Source organism: Homo sapiens, chromosome 3 (genome assembly GCF_000001405.40).
Source record: "Homo sapiens chromosome 3, GRCh38.p14 Primary Assembly".
In the NCBI taxonomy this organism is placed as follows: domain Eukaryota; kingdom Metazoa; phylum Chordata; class Mammalia; order Primates; family Hominidae; genus Homo; species Homo sapiens.
In genome coordinates this window covers 62568757-62586839 of record NC_000003.12, presented here as the reverse complement: position 1 = coordinate 62586839, position 18083 = coordinate 62568757, and the positions used below count along the sequence as shown (strand labels likewise).

Below are 18083 nucleotides of genomic sequence, written 5' to 3'. Positions count from 1 at the left end.
TGATATATGTGATAAGGTAATATATTAATACAAAGTAAACTTATGTAATATAAAATGTTAGTATACAGATACTGGGCTAATTGCTCAACAACATTGTACTAAAGTAGGGCATGATCAAAAAACATTGACAGCCTCTGTTCTGAAAAATCAGGCTTTTCTGTATTTCAATCATGTCATAAGACAGTGGGAAGACTTGAAATTTGTGGTTAGCAAGAATGTATATTTCATCAGAGACAGGGAACTTAATGAAGAAAAAGGGTCAGGCCCAGAAAGAGAAGGGCTGAGAAATCGGCATAAATGAAGCACATCTAAGTGGGCTGATTTTTTTTTCTGCCATGGCCTCCTCCTCCTCCTCTCAGCAGTCTTGTTTCACAATCACACAGGGAGCCATATGTGTCTGCCCTTCAAGCATGGGCCAAGCTTGCATGACTAGTGAAGCTGATACAGCATCTAGAAGGCCAGAGTGTCCACCCATAAGACCATGAGCCCCTCACGGCCACCTCCAGAGGTGAAAGAAGCCCAGGAAAGGGGCCTGCCATCCTTGCACCTAGAGAAAATAAATACTTTGAAAACAGCCAAAACAATGTGCCACAAACCAGGGCGTGCTGCCATCACAGAAGCAAATCTTAGCAAGCCCAGCTTTTGTTGTGCCTATATTTAGTTCATGTTCCCTTAGTTTCAAGGATTTTCCAAATATTCAATTCCTCCCTAAATGCATATTCCCCAGATCCCATGTGTCTCCTGAGAACTCCGTGATCACAAAGCGAAAAGTGGATTTAGTGAGTTACTCACTTCCTGTTTCACTCTCAGAATTCCAGACAATAAGAATGGATGCAGAAGACCCAAATCAAACTGCCATCTCTGAAGCACACTGATGAAAGGCATTTCCTAAGAAATGGTCCTTCTTCAAGTCATGTGTGCTTTCCTCCATGCCCGGGCAAAGTTGGATGTTGTGTGATAAGATTTCCAGGCCAGGTGAAATCAGGTTGAAATGTGTGACTCCAATCAAGTCCCTTTCCTTCCCTGAGTCTCACATTTCTCATCCATCTAATAAGGTTCCTTCCATTTTCCCCTGGGGGCCTTGAGGAATTTCTCCTCTTGAAAAGTGAAAGAAATCCTAAAGAATGGAGAAAAAGAGTGGACTAAAAGGACTGTCTAATATATAAGCATATTTCTTCCTTTTATGCATCCATCTTCTTATACAAAGATGTAGAGAATAATGTGTGGACAATATTCTCCATTCTGGGTTTGTTTAGTACGTCTGAACATTAGAAAAGTCAAAGCAGAATCACAGAGATCATGATTTTCATGACAGAATCATCACAGAATTACAGAAATCTTTACTTTTACAAAATTAGCCAGGAAGGATCAAAAGAATGTGTTTCTATCCCCAGGTATGGCTGCTCCACAGTGGGAATTGTTCAAGTCACTCCACTACTCAGAATCAAAGTTTCTAATCTATAAAAACATAATGGTGCTTCTCTTTTCTAGTTGCTTGTCCTTTTTCCCCTACAGGTTATTCTCCATCCCACCCCGAACAGCCCCAAACAGTCAGAGTGGCACAAAATGACAGTCTCCAAAAACTGCCCCGACCAAGATCTCAAAATCAAACTTGCTGTCCGAATGGATAAGCCTCAAAACATGAAGCATTCTGGGTAAGTGTTTCTTCCCCAACTAGCAGTTTTGGACACACGTCTGTTCATTTCTCAAAATGAAAACAAAAATAAACACAAGATCTTCAGAGAACTATGTAGAAGGAAATATAAAGAATTCATATTAAAATATTCGACTTTGATATTTACTGTAAACTTCCTCAATTCTTAGGATGACTGTATTTGCATTTTTGCTGTCAAAATAGAAAAATGTCCTTCTCTTTCTCTAATACGGTTTCTAGGACAATTCAAAACTTTCCTAGCAGCATGCTAGGTGATTCTAGTTTGGAGAGGTCTTACAGGCTCCGCGTACCTTGTCGGAGGCATCCAGATCATTCAAACTCTGCATATGACTCACTTGCACCTCAATCAGCAACCCACATCTTTGAGGTGTGAGCAGCAGGGAGAGGCCACCTTCAATCAACTCACATTTAATATATTTTAGTATTTAGTGCAGCATTTAAATGAATGAGAAAAAAATAGAAAATTTGTGATCATCTTCATTTTCTTAAGGTTTGAGAAAAATGACCAATTAATTTCAAGTAAAGCAAAAAGAATAGGTAAGATGCCAAATAAGACCAGTGATTTTTCTAGCAAATGTTTGTTGGTGACTGAGTATATGCTGAGCCATGACCTATTAAACTAAATCACATGGATGTCATTATCTCAGAAAACATGATAATCGTGTAACTCTGAAAAGGGAAAGTTTAGTAGAAGGGAATGGAGTGTTTGGCGGGTATTCTGCAGGTACGCTGCCAACTGGCTATCATTCTGCTTAGCCCCTCTGGGCCCTAGAGAGGTCTCGTTAATTCTTTTTTGGGTATATGTATATTGATGATAAAGCTCAAAGTACTAAAAGTGCCATTAAAAATGAGGGTTACGGCTGGGCACAGTGGCTCATGCCTGTAATCCCAGCACTTTGGGAGGCCGAGACGGGAGGATCACCTGAGGTCAGGAGTTTGAGACCAGCCTGACCAACATGATGAAACTCCATCTCTACTAAAAATACAAAAAAATTAGCTGGGCATGGTGGTGGGCACCTGTAATCCTAGCTATTCAGGAGGCTGAGGCTGGAGAATCACTTGAACTCAGGAGGCAGAGGTTGCTGTGAGCCAAGATTGCACCACTGCACTCCAGCCTGGGCAACAGAATGAGACTCCATCTCAAAAAAAAAAAAAAAAAGAGGATTGGGTAGATGTACTAGAGGTTTGGGGAATTCACAAACCCAATTTCAGGGCCTAGCCGTGATTAAGACAGGTCTAAACAGAAGCCCACATGAAGTCCAGGAGGGCGTGACCAGGACAGGAATTGAACTTCCCAGTAGATGAGCAGACCACAGCAGCATGCAGTCAGATAGTAAAGAACAGGAGCCTAGCCATGGTGCCTCAGAGTTCTAGGAAGCAAAAAAAGCCCAAGGTTCCAGAGAAAAACAAAGACCTACCAGTCAGGGCACCAGAGAGGTTCAGGTATGAAGGGTTCCAGAGGAAGCAAAGGTCACCTGTGAGCTGGAGACCAGTGACTCAACCCAAGGTTTGGTTTGGATTTAGAGAATTTGCTTTGCATTGTCTTGAGGCCAAATTATGCCAAGCCTGAGCTGGGATTATGGCAAAGCTCTTCTGCCTGGGGTGTGAAAAAGCCACAGGAGCATGTGCAGGGCCCTAAGGACACACTCAGTCCTTTGTCAAGTGTCCAGGATGAAGTACAACCAGGTTTTCTTCGATTAAATTAGAATGCCGTGAAACATTGCTGAGGTCTACCGTTCTTCCTTCTTATCATGCTCCTGGTATATATTCTGACAATATTCGTGGAATTTCTCCCTAATATGTCTTCCCCCTCTGTGATGAACATCCTACTTTCAAGACAAAGGAGTTGATAATTCAGTTAGGTTTCTGTAGTACACAAGAGAAGATCTTCATCTTTAGCAAAATCCTGCCTCATAAATACTCCATAAATATTTGCTAAAGGAACCAGCACATGAGTGAGCAGAACAGACGTAGAAAGAGAGAGAGAGAGAGAGAGAGAGAGAGAGAGACAAAGAGGGTAGGGCAGATCAAAGAGAGAAAATAAAGAACAGAATATGAATGAATGTATCTGTCCTCTAAAGTGCTTTTTTTAAACTTCCTTTAAAAAAATGATCAGTGCCTCAACCTACATTCGAGTTCTCTCTGAAGCACTGTACTAGGAGTTTTATTGTGTCACTTACTCTCCACAGCAACCACTTGACACAGGTATTATTTTCCCTATTGGATGAATGCCCATTTCCCACATTCTCTTCATTCACTCTGCTAGAAACTGAACTACCTGATTTGGATTGGGGAATTTTTGTGTTGACTTGTTTGTAAAATTATTAACATATTTCAGGCTACCTTGACCCTACAGATGACAGAAGAAATATGTAGCTCACTTCTGACAGGTTTCATAGCTATTTCATATTGCTGGACTTCCATTTTAAAATTACCCCTGCCAGGAGATACACCAAGAGAGCTTAAAATAGCTCTGAAAAGTGAACGGTGAGTGCCTTAATAACACCATCGGACCCAACGTGGCCTAAATCAGGGATGAGCAACCTTAGTTGCCTAAGGGACTATTCAGAGAAAATAAAAATGTTTATGGAGTACATTTTTTTTCCATTTAAACTTAAAATAGTTTTACTGAGCCCAGTTGTGTAAAGGAGGGTAGAAATATGAGAGCAATGTCACAGCTTGGAAAATGGGAGAAAAAAAGGAAAAGAAAAATTTTTTTGAGATGGGGTGGGGCTCTGTCACTCAGGCTGGAGTGCAGCGGTGTGATCTCTGCTCACTGCAGCCTCTGCCTCCCAGGCTCAAGCCATCCTCCCACCTCAGCTTCCCAAGTAGCTGGGACCACAGGTGTGCACCACCACACCCAGCTAATTTTTGTGCTTTTGGTAGAGATGAGGTTTTGCCAGGTTGGCCAGGCTGGTCTCAAACTCCTGGACTCAAGCAATCTGCCTGCCTTGGCTTCCCAAAGCTCTGGGATTACAGGCATGAGCCACCGCGCCCTGCCGAAAAAGCAATTTTTAAGAAGCATAGCTGAGGTTATAAATTGTTCCCATGTTAAGGTTTTTTCTAACATAAAAGGAACATAAGAATCACTGGGAATTATGAATATTGGTGTGCACTGTGGTTCTTTGAATGAGCCACTGGGCCATTCAGAATAACTTTATTGAATAGAAATGTGTCAATGGGAAAAATCAACACTGCTTCTTGACCTTAAAATGTTAGTATCTGGGCATATTTGAGAATCAGCAACTCCTAGATGCCTTTCTAATTTTCATCTTTTATATCTGCATGGTGTTTTCAAGTTCAGGAAGTGCATTCACATCCATTCTCTCATTTTATCACTGAAACCACCTCACAAGGATTAGGTATTATCATTCTCCCATCTTAATAAATGCCCCCCCGACACCCAGATACCCAGACCAAAAACCTTGAAGTAATCCTTGACATTTTTCTTTCTCATCCACCATCAATTTTTGTTTTTCTTTTTGAGACAGGGTCTTGCTCTGTGACCCAGACTGGAGTGCAAAGGTGCTATCATAGCTTACTGCAGCCTTGACCTCTTGGGCTCAGGCAGTCCTCCCACCTCAGCCTCCCAAGTAGCTGGGACTACAGCCATGTACCACCACGCCCAGCTAAGTTTTTTTAAAAAAATTTGTAGAGGTGGGATCTCACTATGTTGTCTTGGCTGGTCTCGAACTCCTTTTTTTTTTTTTTTTTTAATTTTCTAACCAGGTTCAAAATTTAATGTCCTTATTTTAATTATCCAAACAGACAATTTCAGTTAAAATTTATTTTTTTCTTGTGAAAAGACATAATAGAAGAAAAATAAGTTACAATTTGAGATGAAAATAATTATGGTTTTAGGGGAAGGTAGCATCAGAAAATGGGAATGCCAGCAGAATGAGCAAGAAAGTAGGAATGAGAGGAAAACAAATGCCTATCAGATTTGGCGGTTAGCTTCATATATATTATTTAATTCTTACAACAGCTCTACAAGATATTAGAGTTACCATTTTTACTAACTATAACAACTAGAAATGCAAGAAACTTCTTCTTTACACCAGTTAAATAGGCAGATAGTGATGAATGAGGATTCCAGTGCTTATCTCTCTAGCTCCATGATCACTCTTTACTGTACCTCTTTGTGCTATTGGACTGTAATTCAAATGACCCACATAAAATTACTTCTAAAGCACATTCAAATGCAGATTCTTGAAACCCATGCCAAATCCAGCATAAGATTTTCTAAGGTTGTAGTCCAAATATCTGCATTTTAAATAAGAACATCAGGGAAATTTTATGTCTATTTAGGTCAGAGATCCATTGAATACTACTAAACTAACTGATTTAGAGAAATAAAACTTAGGCTTAATTTCTATTTCTAATCTTTTATAGATTCATTACTTTAAGCAAGGCACACATTCTCTTACCCTTAGTCTTTAGCATTTGTAATATGTCTTCCCACTGCCTTATGGCCTTCATTGTTCCTGATGAGATATTAGCAGTTAATCTTATTGGATTTCTCTCATATACAGTCAGTGGTTTTTTTCTTGCCTCTTTCTTTTTTTTTTTATTTTTTTTTATTATACTTTAAGTTTTATGGTACATGTGCACAATGTGCAGGTTAGTTACATATGTATACATGTGCCATGCTGGTGTGCTGCACCATTAACTCGTCATTTAGCATTAGGTATATCTCCTAATGCTATCCCTCCCCACTCCCCCGACCCCACAACAGTCCCCAGAGTGTGATGTTCCCTTTCCTGTGTCCATGTGTTCTTATTGTTCAATTCCGATCTATGAGTGAGAACATGTGGTGTTTGGTTTTTTGTCCTTGCGATAGTTTACTGAGAATGATGATTTCCAGTTTCATCCATGTCCCTACAAAGGACATGAGCTCATCCTTTTTTATGGCTGCATAGTATTCCATGGTGTATATGTGCCACATTTTCTTAATCCAGTCTATCATTGTTGGACATTTGGGTTGGTTCCAAGTCTTTGCTATTGTGAATAGTGCCACAGTAAACATACGTGTGCATGTGTCTTTATGGCAGCATGATTTATAGTCCTTTGGTCTCGAACTCTTAGCCTCAGGCAGTCCTCCCACCTCAGCCTCTCAAAGGGCTGGGATTACAGGCATGAGCCACCAAACCTGGCCGTCATCAAATTCTTTTCACTCCATCTTCAAGATAAATCTAGAATTCAACCTTTCACCCCTGCTTCCATCTCACCATTGGCTTCCAAGCCTCCATTGCTGCTCCCCTTCACTTGCTGCTCCTGCCTCGTAAGCAGTACCCTGCTTCTGCCCCTGCCTCCCAGTAGCCTATTTCCTACTGTGAAGCAATTTTTTTTAAAAAACACAAGTCAGATCCTGCCACTCGAATGCAGGAAAACCTCCAATGATTCCCCATCTCATTCAGAGTAAAAGCCAGTGTTGTTACCATGACTACAAGACCCTACGTACCTGGTCTTGATCACTGTTCCAGCCACACTGGCCTCCTTGCTTTTCCTCCTAGGCACAAAGTACACCCCCATCTCAAGACCCTTGTCCTGGCTGTTTCCTTTCCCTTTCACCCAGATCTCCAACATTTCTATACCTTATCAGAAAGCCTTACCTGGCCCCGCTGTGTCCTCCCTCTCTCTCTTACTCTGTTTTGTTTTCACCAGAGCTCTTATCATGTATATCATATACTTCTTTATTTATTAGTTTGTTGTCTGTCTTCCCCACTAGACTGTGAGTTCCTTGTCAGAAGGGAAATTTGTTTCCTTTTTTCATAGGACCTTCATACAGAGACTGACATGTAGCAAAAGTCCAGTGAATTATTTATTGTTTAGATGAATAAGTGAATAAATGAACCCCCATTTACACTTAGAGAAATTGGAGCTTAAAGTGGTTAAAAGACTTGCCCAAGTCAGAGTAAGCATTAGAGCTCGGTCCACAGTTATTGCTTTCGATCCAACCTTAACTGAGGACCTGAAGCTTGACTAAAATAGAGAGCTCCTCATGACTCCACATTTAATTCATTCAATGAACCACAGTCCACCAACCGGGAGTAATTTGCAGCAATTCTGATTTTCCTTTTATATTTAACAAACTTCAAAAGGAATACAGTTTGTAACACTTGGCTATCTTCTTAAAATCTCTTTTCCCCTTCCATTTCTGTAGCTGTACCACTGTTCTAGACCTCTTTTTCTTCAAAATCATCACACTTCTCTCCTCCTCATAGGTCTCCAAGACACCATGCTTTTTGGTACAGACTCTGAAACCAGGGTACTGGACTAGACTAATCAAATATCTTTAGTGTTTCATTTTATCTCCCTTGTTGACTTCTTATCAATAAACGTCAATTAGATCAAGTCAGTTTATAGTGTTGTTCAAAGAATCTATATCCTTACTGATTTTCATTTATTTAGAGGAAGCTCTCAAGCTCTTACTAGAATTTTAAATTTGTTTCTCCTTGTAGTTCTGTCTGGTTTTGCTTCATATATTCTGAAGCTTTGTTATTAGATGCAGAAGCATTTAAGATTGTTAAGTCTTTTTTTTTTTTTTATTTTTTTGAGACGGAGTCTTGCTCTGTCACCCAGGCTGGAGTGCAGTGGCATGATCTCGGCTCACTGCAAGCTCCGCCTCCCGGGTTCACTCCATTCTCCTGCCTCAGCCTCCCAAGCAGCTGGGACTACAGGTGCCCGCCACCATGCCCAGCTAATTTTTTGTATTTTTAGTACAGACAGGGTTTCACCGTGCTAGCCAGAATTGTCTCGATCTCCTGACCTCATGATCTGCCTGCCTCAGCCTCCCAAAGTGCTGGGATTACAGGCGTGAGCCACCACACCCGGCTGTTATGTCTTCTTGATTGACTTACTCCTTTTACATTATGAAATAATCTTCTTGATCCCCAGCAGTATTCTTCACCTGCAATTTACTTTGTGTGACAGTGATATAGCCCCTCCAGCCTTTTTTGTAAAAAAAAAAAAAAAAAGTGTTAGCATGGTAAATCTTTTTTTTTCTATCTTTTTATTTTTAACCTATTCGTGTCTTTAAAAAGTGCATTTCTTATAGGCAGCATAGAGTGAGGTCTAACTTTTTAACTCAAATTTGAAGATCCTTGCCTTTTAGTTGAGATATTTAGCCTATTTGCATTTAATGTTATTATTGATAGGTTTAAACTTATTTTGTTGTTTGTCATCCTTGCTTTTTATTTTCTGTTTGTCCTATCTGATCTTTGTTACCTTTTTCCTATTTTTCTGCTTTCTTTGGAATTAGCTGAATATCTTTGTGATTCTACTTTGTCTTCTTTATTGTATTGTTATCCCTAAATGCCAATTAGATCAAATCGCCTAGAATGCAATTCCTGCCACAACCACTTACTAGCTGTAGGCAAGTTTCTTAACCCCTCTGGACTTCATTTTGCTCAACGTAAAGCAGAAATAACAACAGTGTTTGTCTTGTAGGGTTGTTGTGAGGACTAAGTGAGCTAATACATGTGCAGTATTTAGAACAAGGTCTCATACATGGTTAATAGCTACAGCTATAGAAGAGTTATTGTTGTTAGTCGTGTTGGTTGTAATCATCATTGTTATTTGCTTTCATTTATTCTTTGTACTTTTTTCCAGCCCATGCTTCTTCTTGCTGGGCTGCTATAAGATAGCTGAGGTACCTGGAGTCTCCCTGCTCTCCATCTTCTCCTTGACACCCAAGAAGAGGACAAAAGCATCCCTGTAGGAATCATGGTTCTTGTCTCACTGCAACTTCTGTTCTTATAAGAAATTTTTATGAAGAATTTCTGACAAGGAGGAATAAGTTCAAGAGACCTATTGTGCAATATGGTGACTATGATTAATAACAATACATTGTATACTTGAAAATTCCAAGAGTAGATATTTAATAAAAAGAGCCATGTTACTAATTCACGTTAAATTCACAAATACCATATGAGAGAAGACTGCCTCATTTTTTTATTCAAATGAAAAGTTACAAGCATTGCCATGGGTGCTACCCTACCAAGTAGTCCCAGAGCAGAGGGACACTGAGGCCAGAGGGGTCTTCCAGGATTCAGCAATTTTGGGGGATTCCTGGAACTAAAGTTGAACACAGATGAATCTTCCTCTTCTTTTTTTAATCCTTTGTAGCTCGCTCACTCTGGTCTCTCATATAACTAAAACGTCCCCAGTGAATAACAGAGATGTCAGTGACCCAGTAGCAAGAATTTTACAAAAATATCATAAGAGAGGATACATTCAAATCATGATACAAAATATGGCCTGGAGCTCCAAACCCAGACATGTGTACCTCACTTTCCTTCCCAACAGATGTGCACCCAAAATTATTTACTCTTTCTACTAGGACTGCTTTTTTTTTTTTTTTTTTTTTTTTTTTTTAGACAGAGTCTTGCTCTGTCACCCAGGCTGAAGTGCAGTGGTGTGATCTCAGCTCACTGCAACCTCCGTTTCCAGGTTCAACTGATTCTCGTACCTCAGCCTCCCGAGTAGCTGGGACTACAGATGCATACCACCATGCCCAGCTAATTTTTTTTTTTTCAGTAGAAATGGGTCTTCACCATGTTGGCCAGGCTGGTCTCAATCTTCTAACCTCAACTGATCTGTGCACCTCAGCCTCCCAAAGTGCTAGGAGTACAGGTGTGAGCCACCGTGAGGACTGCTATTTTTAATACTACAAATAGTAGCACACATAACAACAATAACAATAATACTTATCCAGCCCTTACCACGTGCCAGTGAGCGTGCTAAGCTCTTGACACATATCACCCCCATGAGTTCTCACAAGAACTCTATAAAGTAACTGTTAGGTTATCCCCATCTTACAGCTAAGGAAACTGAGGCACAGGGCAGCTAAGCCAAAGGAAAGTTAATGACAGGGCCAGAATTCCCACTTAGGTGTTTCTCCTTTAGTCTGAGATATAACCACTCGTCTAAACTGCCACTGACTACATTAGAATACTGCTTTGTCTATTGGTAAATCCAGATTTCCACATACCCGGACAGCTTGAAAACAGAGAGTTCAGGGCCACTAATGCCCACACAAATAGATCTGCCTGTAGTGTGAGGAGCTAGGAGGGAAGCCACCTGTATGTCTGCAATAACAGAACTTCCATCTGCTCCAGGTACTGTGTATCCTATTTAATGAGCATGTTTCCACCCAAGAAAACGCAGAGCCGGAGCTGACTAGACAGAAACAGTACATCTCAGCCCTCAGTTTTTCTTGGTTTTGACACCTTCTGGTATGTGCCAAATTAGCAATAAATTCCGAGGAAAACCTCAGAGGGAAAGCCCCTCCCTCAAGCAGACTTTCCAAAGGAAAATTGTTACTTTTTCTCTGATCCCACCAGCTTTCCCATTCGGAAGCCTTTAACCAGAAATCCCCTCTGTTCAATTAGAATCGTGACTCATGTTCTTACTTCAAAAAAAGAAACCAAAGTTTGTCATCTAGAAGGAAGGAGGAAGAGTGTGAAGAAGAGGGTGCTTTAGAGTTAGGCTGTTTTGAGTTTAATTTCTGGCTGTGTCCTTCATCAGCTGTGGAACCTAGGAAAGTTACTTAAACTTTCTCAGCCTCAGCTCCCTCAACTGTAAAATAGGAATAATAGTATATAATGATATATCTAATAGCAAGTATTTACTTTAAGCTAGCTATTGTTCTAAGCACTTTATATTTCTACTTTAATCCTCACAACCCTTGAGGTAGGTACCATTATTATTATCCCCATTGTAAAGATGAGAAAACTGAAGTAGAGATAACTCTAGTAATTTATTTGCCCAAGTTTGCACATGAATCTGGGTAACATATCTCCAGATTTAAGCACTTAACTCTTCCAGATGAGTGTAATAAATTCACATAAAGTGACTGGCACAGCACAGAAAACTTGTAACACTTCACTAAGTAGTAGCTATTGTTTTTATTATGAAGAAATAGTTAATGATTCAATATGAATTACACTCTATGGGTTCTATGAACTTCTTTTTCTACTTTTATTCTCATGTCTTATGATTATATACACAATAGATATTGTAGCTATATTCGTTTTTGCAAATCTCTTTCTATGGATGCAAAGTAAAGGGAAATGGTTAGTAGCTGCCAGATATAATTCCAGAAAAGTGTGAGGCTGTTACAATCTTGCTAGTCATTACTAAAACAACTACAAAATTTCTTGCCCACTTCCTGAATTTGATCTTTGAAGTCATCTACTTCCCTTTGTACCTAAGTCCAAGATTTCCTTTCACATATTTAAGTTATTGTTTGCTGCTAAAATGATACATTTTCTCTGTCCGTACAGAGATTTTGTAATAAAGCTGACATTTATTGTACACCTACTTCCTGACATGCCTCATGCTTATACTTCACAAGCACTGTCTCGTTTAATCCTCACAACAGCCCTGTGAGTTAGGAACCATTACTGACCTGTCTTACAGAGCACCAAGAGGTTAAGCATCTTGACCAACATTTCACAGTAACTGGTAGAACTGGAACTGGAAGATTATACTCTTAACTGTTACAAGCCAATAATCTGTCTCCTTAGCCCTGGCTGAACCTCCCTCTTATGTCTATTTACTGCATGAAAACATTAATATATTATTTTAAGCACTGACCAGGACAGCTAGATGATCTATGTAACCCCAGAGCTGTTTGTGCTGGCCTCATCAGCAGCACAAGGTTGATAAACTTATCAGTCATCCGGTCGATGCTCCCTGGCTCAGCTTTGGTCCAGCCATCACCTCTCTTGCCTGAGCCCCTGTGACCAGCTCTTCACTAATCTCTTTGCTTTCTCTCTTGCCCCGCTTCCTCCTACAGTGTATTCTCTATCCAGCAGCCAGTGAGATCTTCTTAAATAGAAATATGATGGTGTCACCCCTCCTGCATTCTTAAAACCCTGCCATAGTTTCCCATTCATATTTAGAATCAGCATACTGGCGATCTGATTTACCCATTTAAGAGGTCAGTCTAGCTACCATGGGATGAATGGAGCATAGAGATGAGAAGGAAAGTAGGGAGGCCAGTTAGCGGACTCCTGTCATGGTCCAGGTGGTGTTGATGGTGACTTGACTGGGGAGTTGCAGTGGGGATGGAATGAGATGGGATACATTTGGGAAGGAAAGCTTGAAGAACTTGGCAATGGATTACATGTTTTTATGCAGTGTTTTAAAATCTCATCAGAAATCTTTAAAAAGATCGCTCTGATCTCGCAAGAGCATGGCACTTAAAACCAACTGAACTATAACAAATGTCTATTGACCAGTTACCATCTATCAGGAACTGAAAGGAATTCAGAAAGAAGAACATGTTTCTATGCTAAGTATTTAGAAAGCAGGACCAGGGTTCCTTCCCTCCAGAAACTCACAGTTCAGTAGGAACAATAAATATAACCACAAATAAATTAAAGCTGTGTGATAACTGTAACAGCAGAATTATCTACAAGGCCTAGGAGATGATGACATCAAAGTAAAGGTTTAAACTGAGGGAGAATATGAGTTTTCCCATGAGGAGCAGGGAGAAGGCATCCCAGGCAGCATAGGTTGTACCAAGTTACAGAGGTGTGAATTTTTATGGTGTGGTCAGGAATTACAGATACACAATGTAGATAATACAATGGGCAGAAGCCAAGTCAAGGGGGTAAGCAGAGATGGAAAATTAAAAGTTTTTTAGGCTAGGTCAAGATGCTGGACTTTGTCCCTATAGGCTAAAGTTTTCCCAAGTGCATTCATGGCACTGATAGTGCACAAGATGGTTTTAATGATATATAGACGAGCATGGATCAAATACAATTGGCCTTCCCCATCCACAAGTTCTACATCTGAGAAATCAACAAACCATGGATGGAAAATATGTGGGGGGAGAAAAGCAAGGAAAAATAAAAATACCGTAATAAAAAATAATGTGAATAAAAAATAATACAGTAGAGCAACTATTTACATAGTATTTACATTGTACAAAGTATTATAGGTACTCTAGGGAAGATTTAATGTATATGGGAGGGGCCAGGCGAGGTACCTCACGCCTGTAAGCCCAGCACTTTGGGAGGCCGAGGCAGCCAGATCACCTGAGGTCAAGAGTTCGAGACCAGCCTAGTCAACATGGTGAAACCCCATCTCTACTAAAAATACAAAAATTAGCCGGACATGGTGGTGCACATCTGTAATCCTAGCTACTCAGGAGGCTGAGGGAGGAGACTCGCTTGAACCCAGGAGGTGGAGGTTGCAGTGAGCTGAAATCATGCCATTGCACTCCAGCCTGGGTGACGGAGTGCAACTCCATCTCAAAGAAAGAAAAAAAAAGTATATGTGAGGATGTGCTTAGGTTACATGCAAATACTACACCACTTTATGTAAGGGTGGTGGATTTTGGTGTCTGTGGATTTTGATGTCTTCAGGGGTCCTGGAACCAATTCCCTGTAGATACTGAGGGACAAGTGTAATCATTTATGTATTTTAATATGTGCTACATAATGTATAATTGGTATATCAAGCCTATAATATAGTTTACTTTTCAAAATAGATTTATTCATGTTAAGTAAGTTAATTTAAAGAAAAATGTCAAGTAAATCATAGAATAGGTGAACAGATGTGGGACCAATGATGAAATGTAAGAGGCCAAAGTTTGAGGCACTTTTCATATAAATGGTGGGGGTAGGGGGGAGGCACTGAAGGAATTTTAGCTTGGAAAAGGCATGATAAGATTTGCAGGTGGTAAGCTCTGTCTCGTTTCCAGGAATAGGATGAAAATCATTCTCGTGTCCCTGAAACCAATTAAGAGGTTCCTCTATAATTGTCCATGGAAGCAAAAAATGTGGGTGGGGACTGAAATAGTGGAAGTGGGAAGAGGGAAGACAGAGCCGTGAGGAACTCCCCAGGAGGTAAAAACTCAACTGCACTTGGCGACTGAGGAATAAGGATGAGGAAACAGAAGGACCCAGGATGACTCCTGGGTTTCTGGCTTGAAGATCTGAATAGATTTTGGCTGCCAGCCACTCTTAAGGGCCCCTGAAATTTGTCAGGCAGGAAAAATTTTAATTAGGTGCATTCTTCATTATGTTCCAAAGCAGAAATTCTGTCTGATTTGAGGTAAAGTGAGGATTTGGAAGTTTTCCAGTGGGTGTTGATGACAGTAGACAGGTAAAGCCAGTTTTAGAACTCGGTATTTGAATGTATTTCGGTATGACCAGATCTCTCCTTTCTTAGTTGGATAGAGCCTGAAAAATGCCAGGCCTGGATTCCTAGATCGGTGCCAGTTCAATATGTAACAATCCACAATGCAGATAGGATAATACATGAATTGATTAGTAATATTGACCTTACGCCAGGCACGGTGGCTCACGCCTGTAATCCCAGCACTTTGGGAGGCCAAGGCGGGTGGATCAACTGAGGTTGGGAGTTCGAGACCAGCCTGACCAACATGGTGAAACCCCATCTCTATCAAAAATACAAAATTAGCCAAGCATGGTGGCGCATGCTTGTAATTCCAGCTACTTGGGAGGCTGAGGCAGGAGAATCACTTGAACCCAGGAGGAGGAGGTTGCGGTGAGCTGAGATCACACCATTGCACTCCCGCCTGGGCAACAAGAGTGAAACTCTGTCCCAAAAAAAAAAAAAAGTAATATTTATCTTAACATGTCCGGACGGCTTTGAGCTCTGCCTCTGTAGTTCTCAACCCTCCGTTTTATTTTATTTTTCTGTATAAAAAAATTAATTTCTTTCAACAGAAGAGCTTTTGGAGAAGGAGGAAGGAAGTGGGGAGACCTTCCTATGTTGACTTGGAATTTGCTCCCTGTAATGTACCTGCATTCCTCCCTGTAATACACCTGCAATACAGCAAAAGAAAACAAGGGAAGGTTTTCCTGAGTGAAACTTGACAAGATGCAAAAGAGTTGTGAGATTTAGCACCCTCTTTTTTCTTTCCTGTGCAATGTCTTTCAGGAGTTCCCCTACCTAAAAGACTTTTAGCACATACACAAATTAAGTTGCAGCGTCACATTTTCCAAGGTGCTTTCTGGAATCAGTCAAGGAGTCTAAGTCTCATGATAGGCCTCAATTCCTCCTGTAAGTGGAAGTGAAAAGTGCTTGCTGTTGTTTATGCTCAACCACAGAGCTCCAAAATCTGCGCCCCGTTCCTGAGCCATGTGCGTTTCCTTGTTTATAAGTACCAAGCTTCACGGCAAAGTGTGTTCAACAATTCACTCACTCAAGCATTAATGCAGCTCTGGTCTTTCTCCTTTCCCTTAGGTATTTATGGGCCATCGGTAAGAATGTCTGGAAGAGATGGAAGAAAAGGTTTTTTGTATTGGTGCAGGTAACTAACTCTTCAACTCTTAAGAGACATCAGTATTAAAGATTTGCTAGAATGAATGAATGCTTTTTAACTGAGGTATAACTTAAATACACAGAGCTCATGCATTTAGCTTAATGAATTTTTACATATATCCATGTAACCACCATTCAGAGGAGGATACAGAACATTTCCAATACCCAAAGGGCTCCCTTGTGCTCTATTCTCTATTTTTATATCACTTTTAAATTTTAAAAAATTAATGAATACTCATAATTTTTTAATTCGAACAATACAGTAGTATGTGAGATAAGTCGGGGAGAGTAGACTCCCACCCCTGCCCAGTCTCCTGCCAGGGATGGAGGATTCCAGAAGGGAGCAAGCTCATGCCAAGTGAGGGCTATAGGGACATTAACTTTGGCTGAAAACAATGTAGTATTTTGAAAAGAACTGAGATAGGCATTATGAGTAAAGTCAGAATTTAGTTGGACTTTTTGCCTCTATTTTATTATTTAGTGTGTTTGAATTTGAATTATCTGTGTGGGAGTGCTCTACTCTTCTTGGTGCCTGGTGCTTCCAAAAGTCTTAGCCAACGTCCCATAACTATGTTTAATATCTAGGATAAATTTTTCTATTAAACTTCTTTTTTTTTTTTTTAACTGAAACAAACCAAATTCTTCAAGTTGTTCTGCAAGTTGCTTTTTCCACACAAGTTATTTAGATACCTTTCAATGTTTACATATATAGCTCTGGCTCTCATATCTGTAAACTTTTCCCTTTTGGATAGACTTCTGGACTTTCCCAATTTGGGCTATTCTTAACAAGGCTGCAGGGAATATCTGTGTATATGGATACAAATGTAGATGCGGATATTGATGTTAATACATTAGTCATATATAAATAACACCTTTACTCTTGAGCATTTCTTAAATTTTTTTCCAGAAATAGTAATACCTGTCCTTGAAAGACCCCATCTTTTTGGTAGGGGAGGGTGTTTATTTTTTGCATCAGGATTTTTCAGTTTACAAAGTTTTCCAGTGCCTGTTTTTAATTTTCAGACTCCACCAGAGCATTTAAACTATAATTCAATTTGCAGAAATCTAATTTATGCTATACTCTGAAAGATTTCACAAAGTGAGTCAACTTGGAACTGAGTGACAAAGGTTCTTACTGGGTTACTTGACTAGGATTAATATTTAGAGTGCTACCAATATTTAGAGTGCTTTATACTCAGAGACCTGACTACAAAGCAACTCCCTTTTAGGTCTAAATGACCTTGAGGGTTTCACCAACTCTGAACTTCTAAGACTAGACTGTCTATAGATCTACTTAAGTCTCTGCTGTGCCGCTAAGGCAAAATACAGCTCTCTGGCTCTAATAAGCAAGAGGTCATCTTTGCTTTCAGTATTGTTGTAGGGTAGAACAAAACCTTAAAGTGATTTAGCCGCAAAGAACATTTTGGAATGATGCCCGTCCCTCAGAATAACCCACGGCTGCCCAGCACGGTGGCTCACGCCTGTAATCCCAGCACTTTGGGAAGCCGAGACGGGTGGATCACCTGAGATCAGGAGTTCAAGACTAGCCTGGCCAACATGGTGAAACCCTGTCTCTACTAATAGTACAAAAAATTAGCCGGGTATGGTGGTGCATGCTTGTAATCTCAGCTACTAGGGAGGCTGAGGCAGAAGAATCACTTGAACCAGGGAGGTGGAGGTTGCAGTGAGCTGAGATTGTGCCATTGCACTCCAGCCTGGGCAACAAGAGCAAAACTCCGTCTCCAAAAAAAATAAATAATTAAAATAACCCATGGCTAAGCAATTGAGGCTATTTTAGCTTGTGGTACATTTCCTCAGACTATTAACTGACCAGTATTTATTGAGCACCTACTTTGTGTGGAGTGCATTGAGAGGACATGGAGAACTATCAGGTCTGGTATTTAGCTCCCAGAAAGGAATCTGTTAGAGTTCTACATATGCAAACAGCAGAAGTAGACTCAAGCTAATTAAGGTTTAAAAAATGAATATATGGAAGGCTTTGGAGTTAACTCATAGAATTGTGAAAAAGGCTGAATTACCCATCCATGTTAAGAACAGGGCCAGCATAGTTCCAGAAATCCAAGTTGTATTAGGTTTCTCCAGA

The 18083-nt window shown here is 40.3% G+C and overlaps 1 protein-coding gene across 51 annotated transcripts in view; it reads left to right on the top strand.

The window, feature by feature from the left end:
- The window catches only part of CADPS (calcium dependent secretion activator), a 477069-nt gene that overhangs the window by 288577 nt on the left and 170409 nt on the right, over positions 1-18083 (top strand). For all 51 annotated transcript variants that reach the window (NM_183393.3, NM_001438352.1, XM_011534199.3 and 48 more), the window contains exons 8-9: positions 1516-1655; positions 15902-15968. In NM_183393.3, coding sequence (NP_899630.1) covers positions 1516-1655; positions 15902-15968 — 207 coding nt within the window. The remainder of the gene's footprint in view (positions 1-1515; positions 1656-15901; positions 15969-18083) is intronic.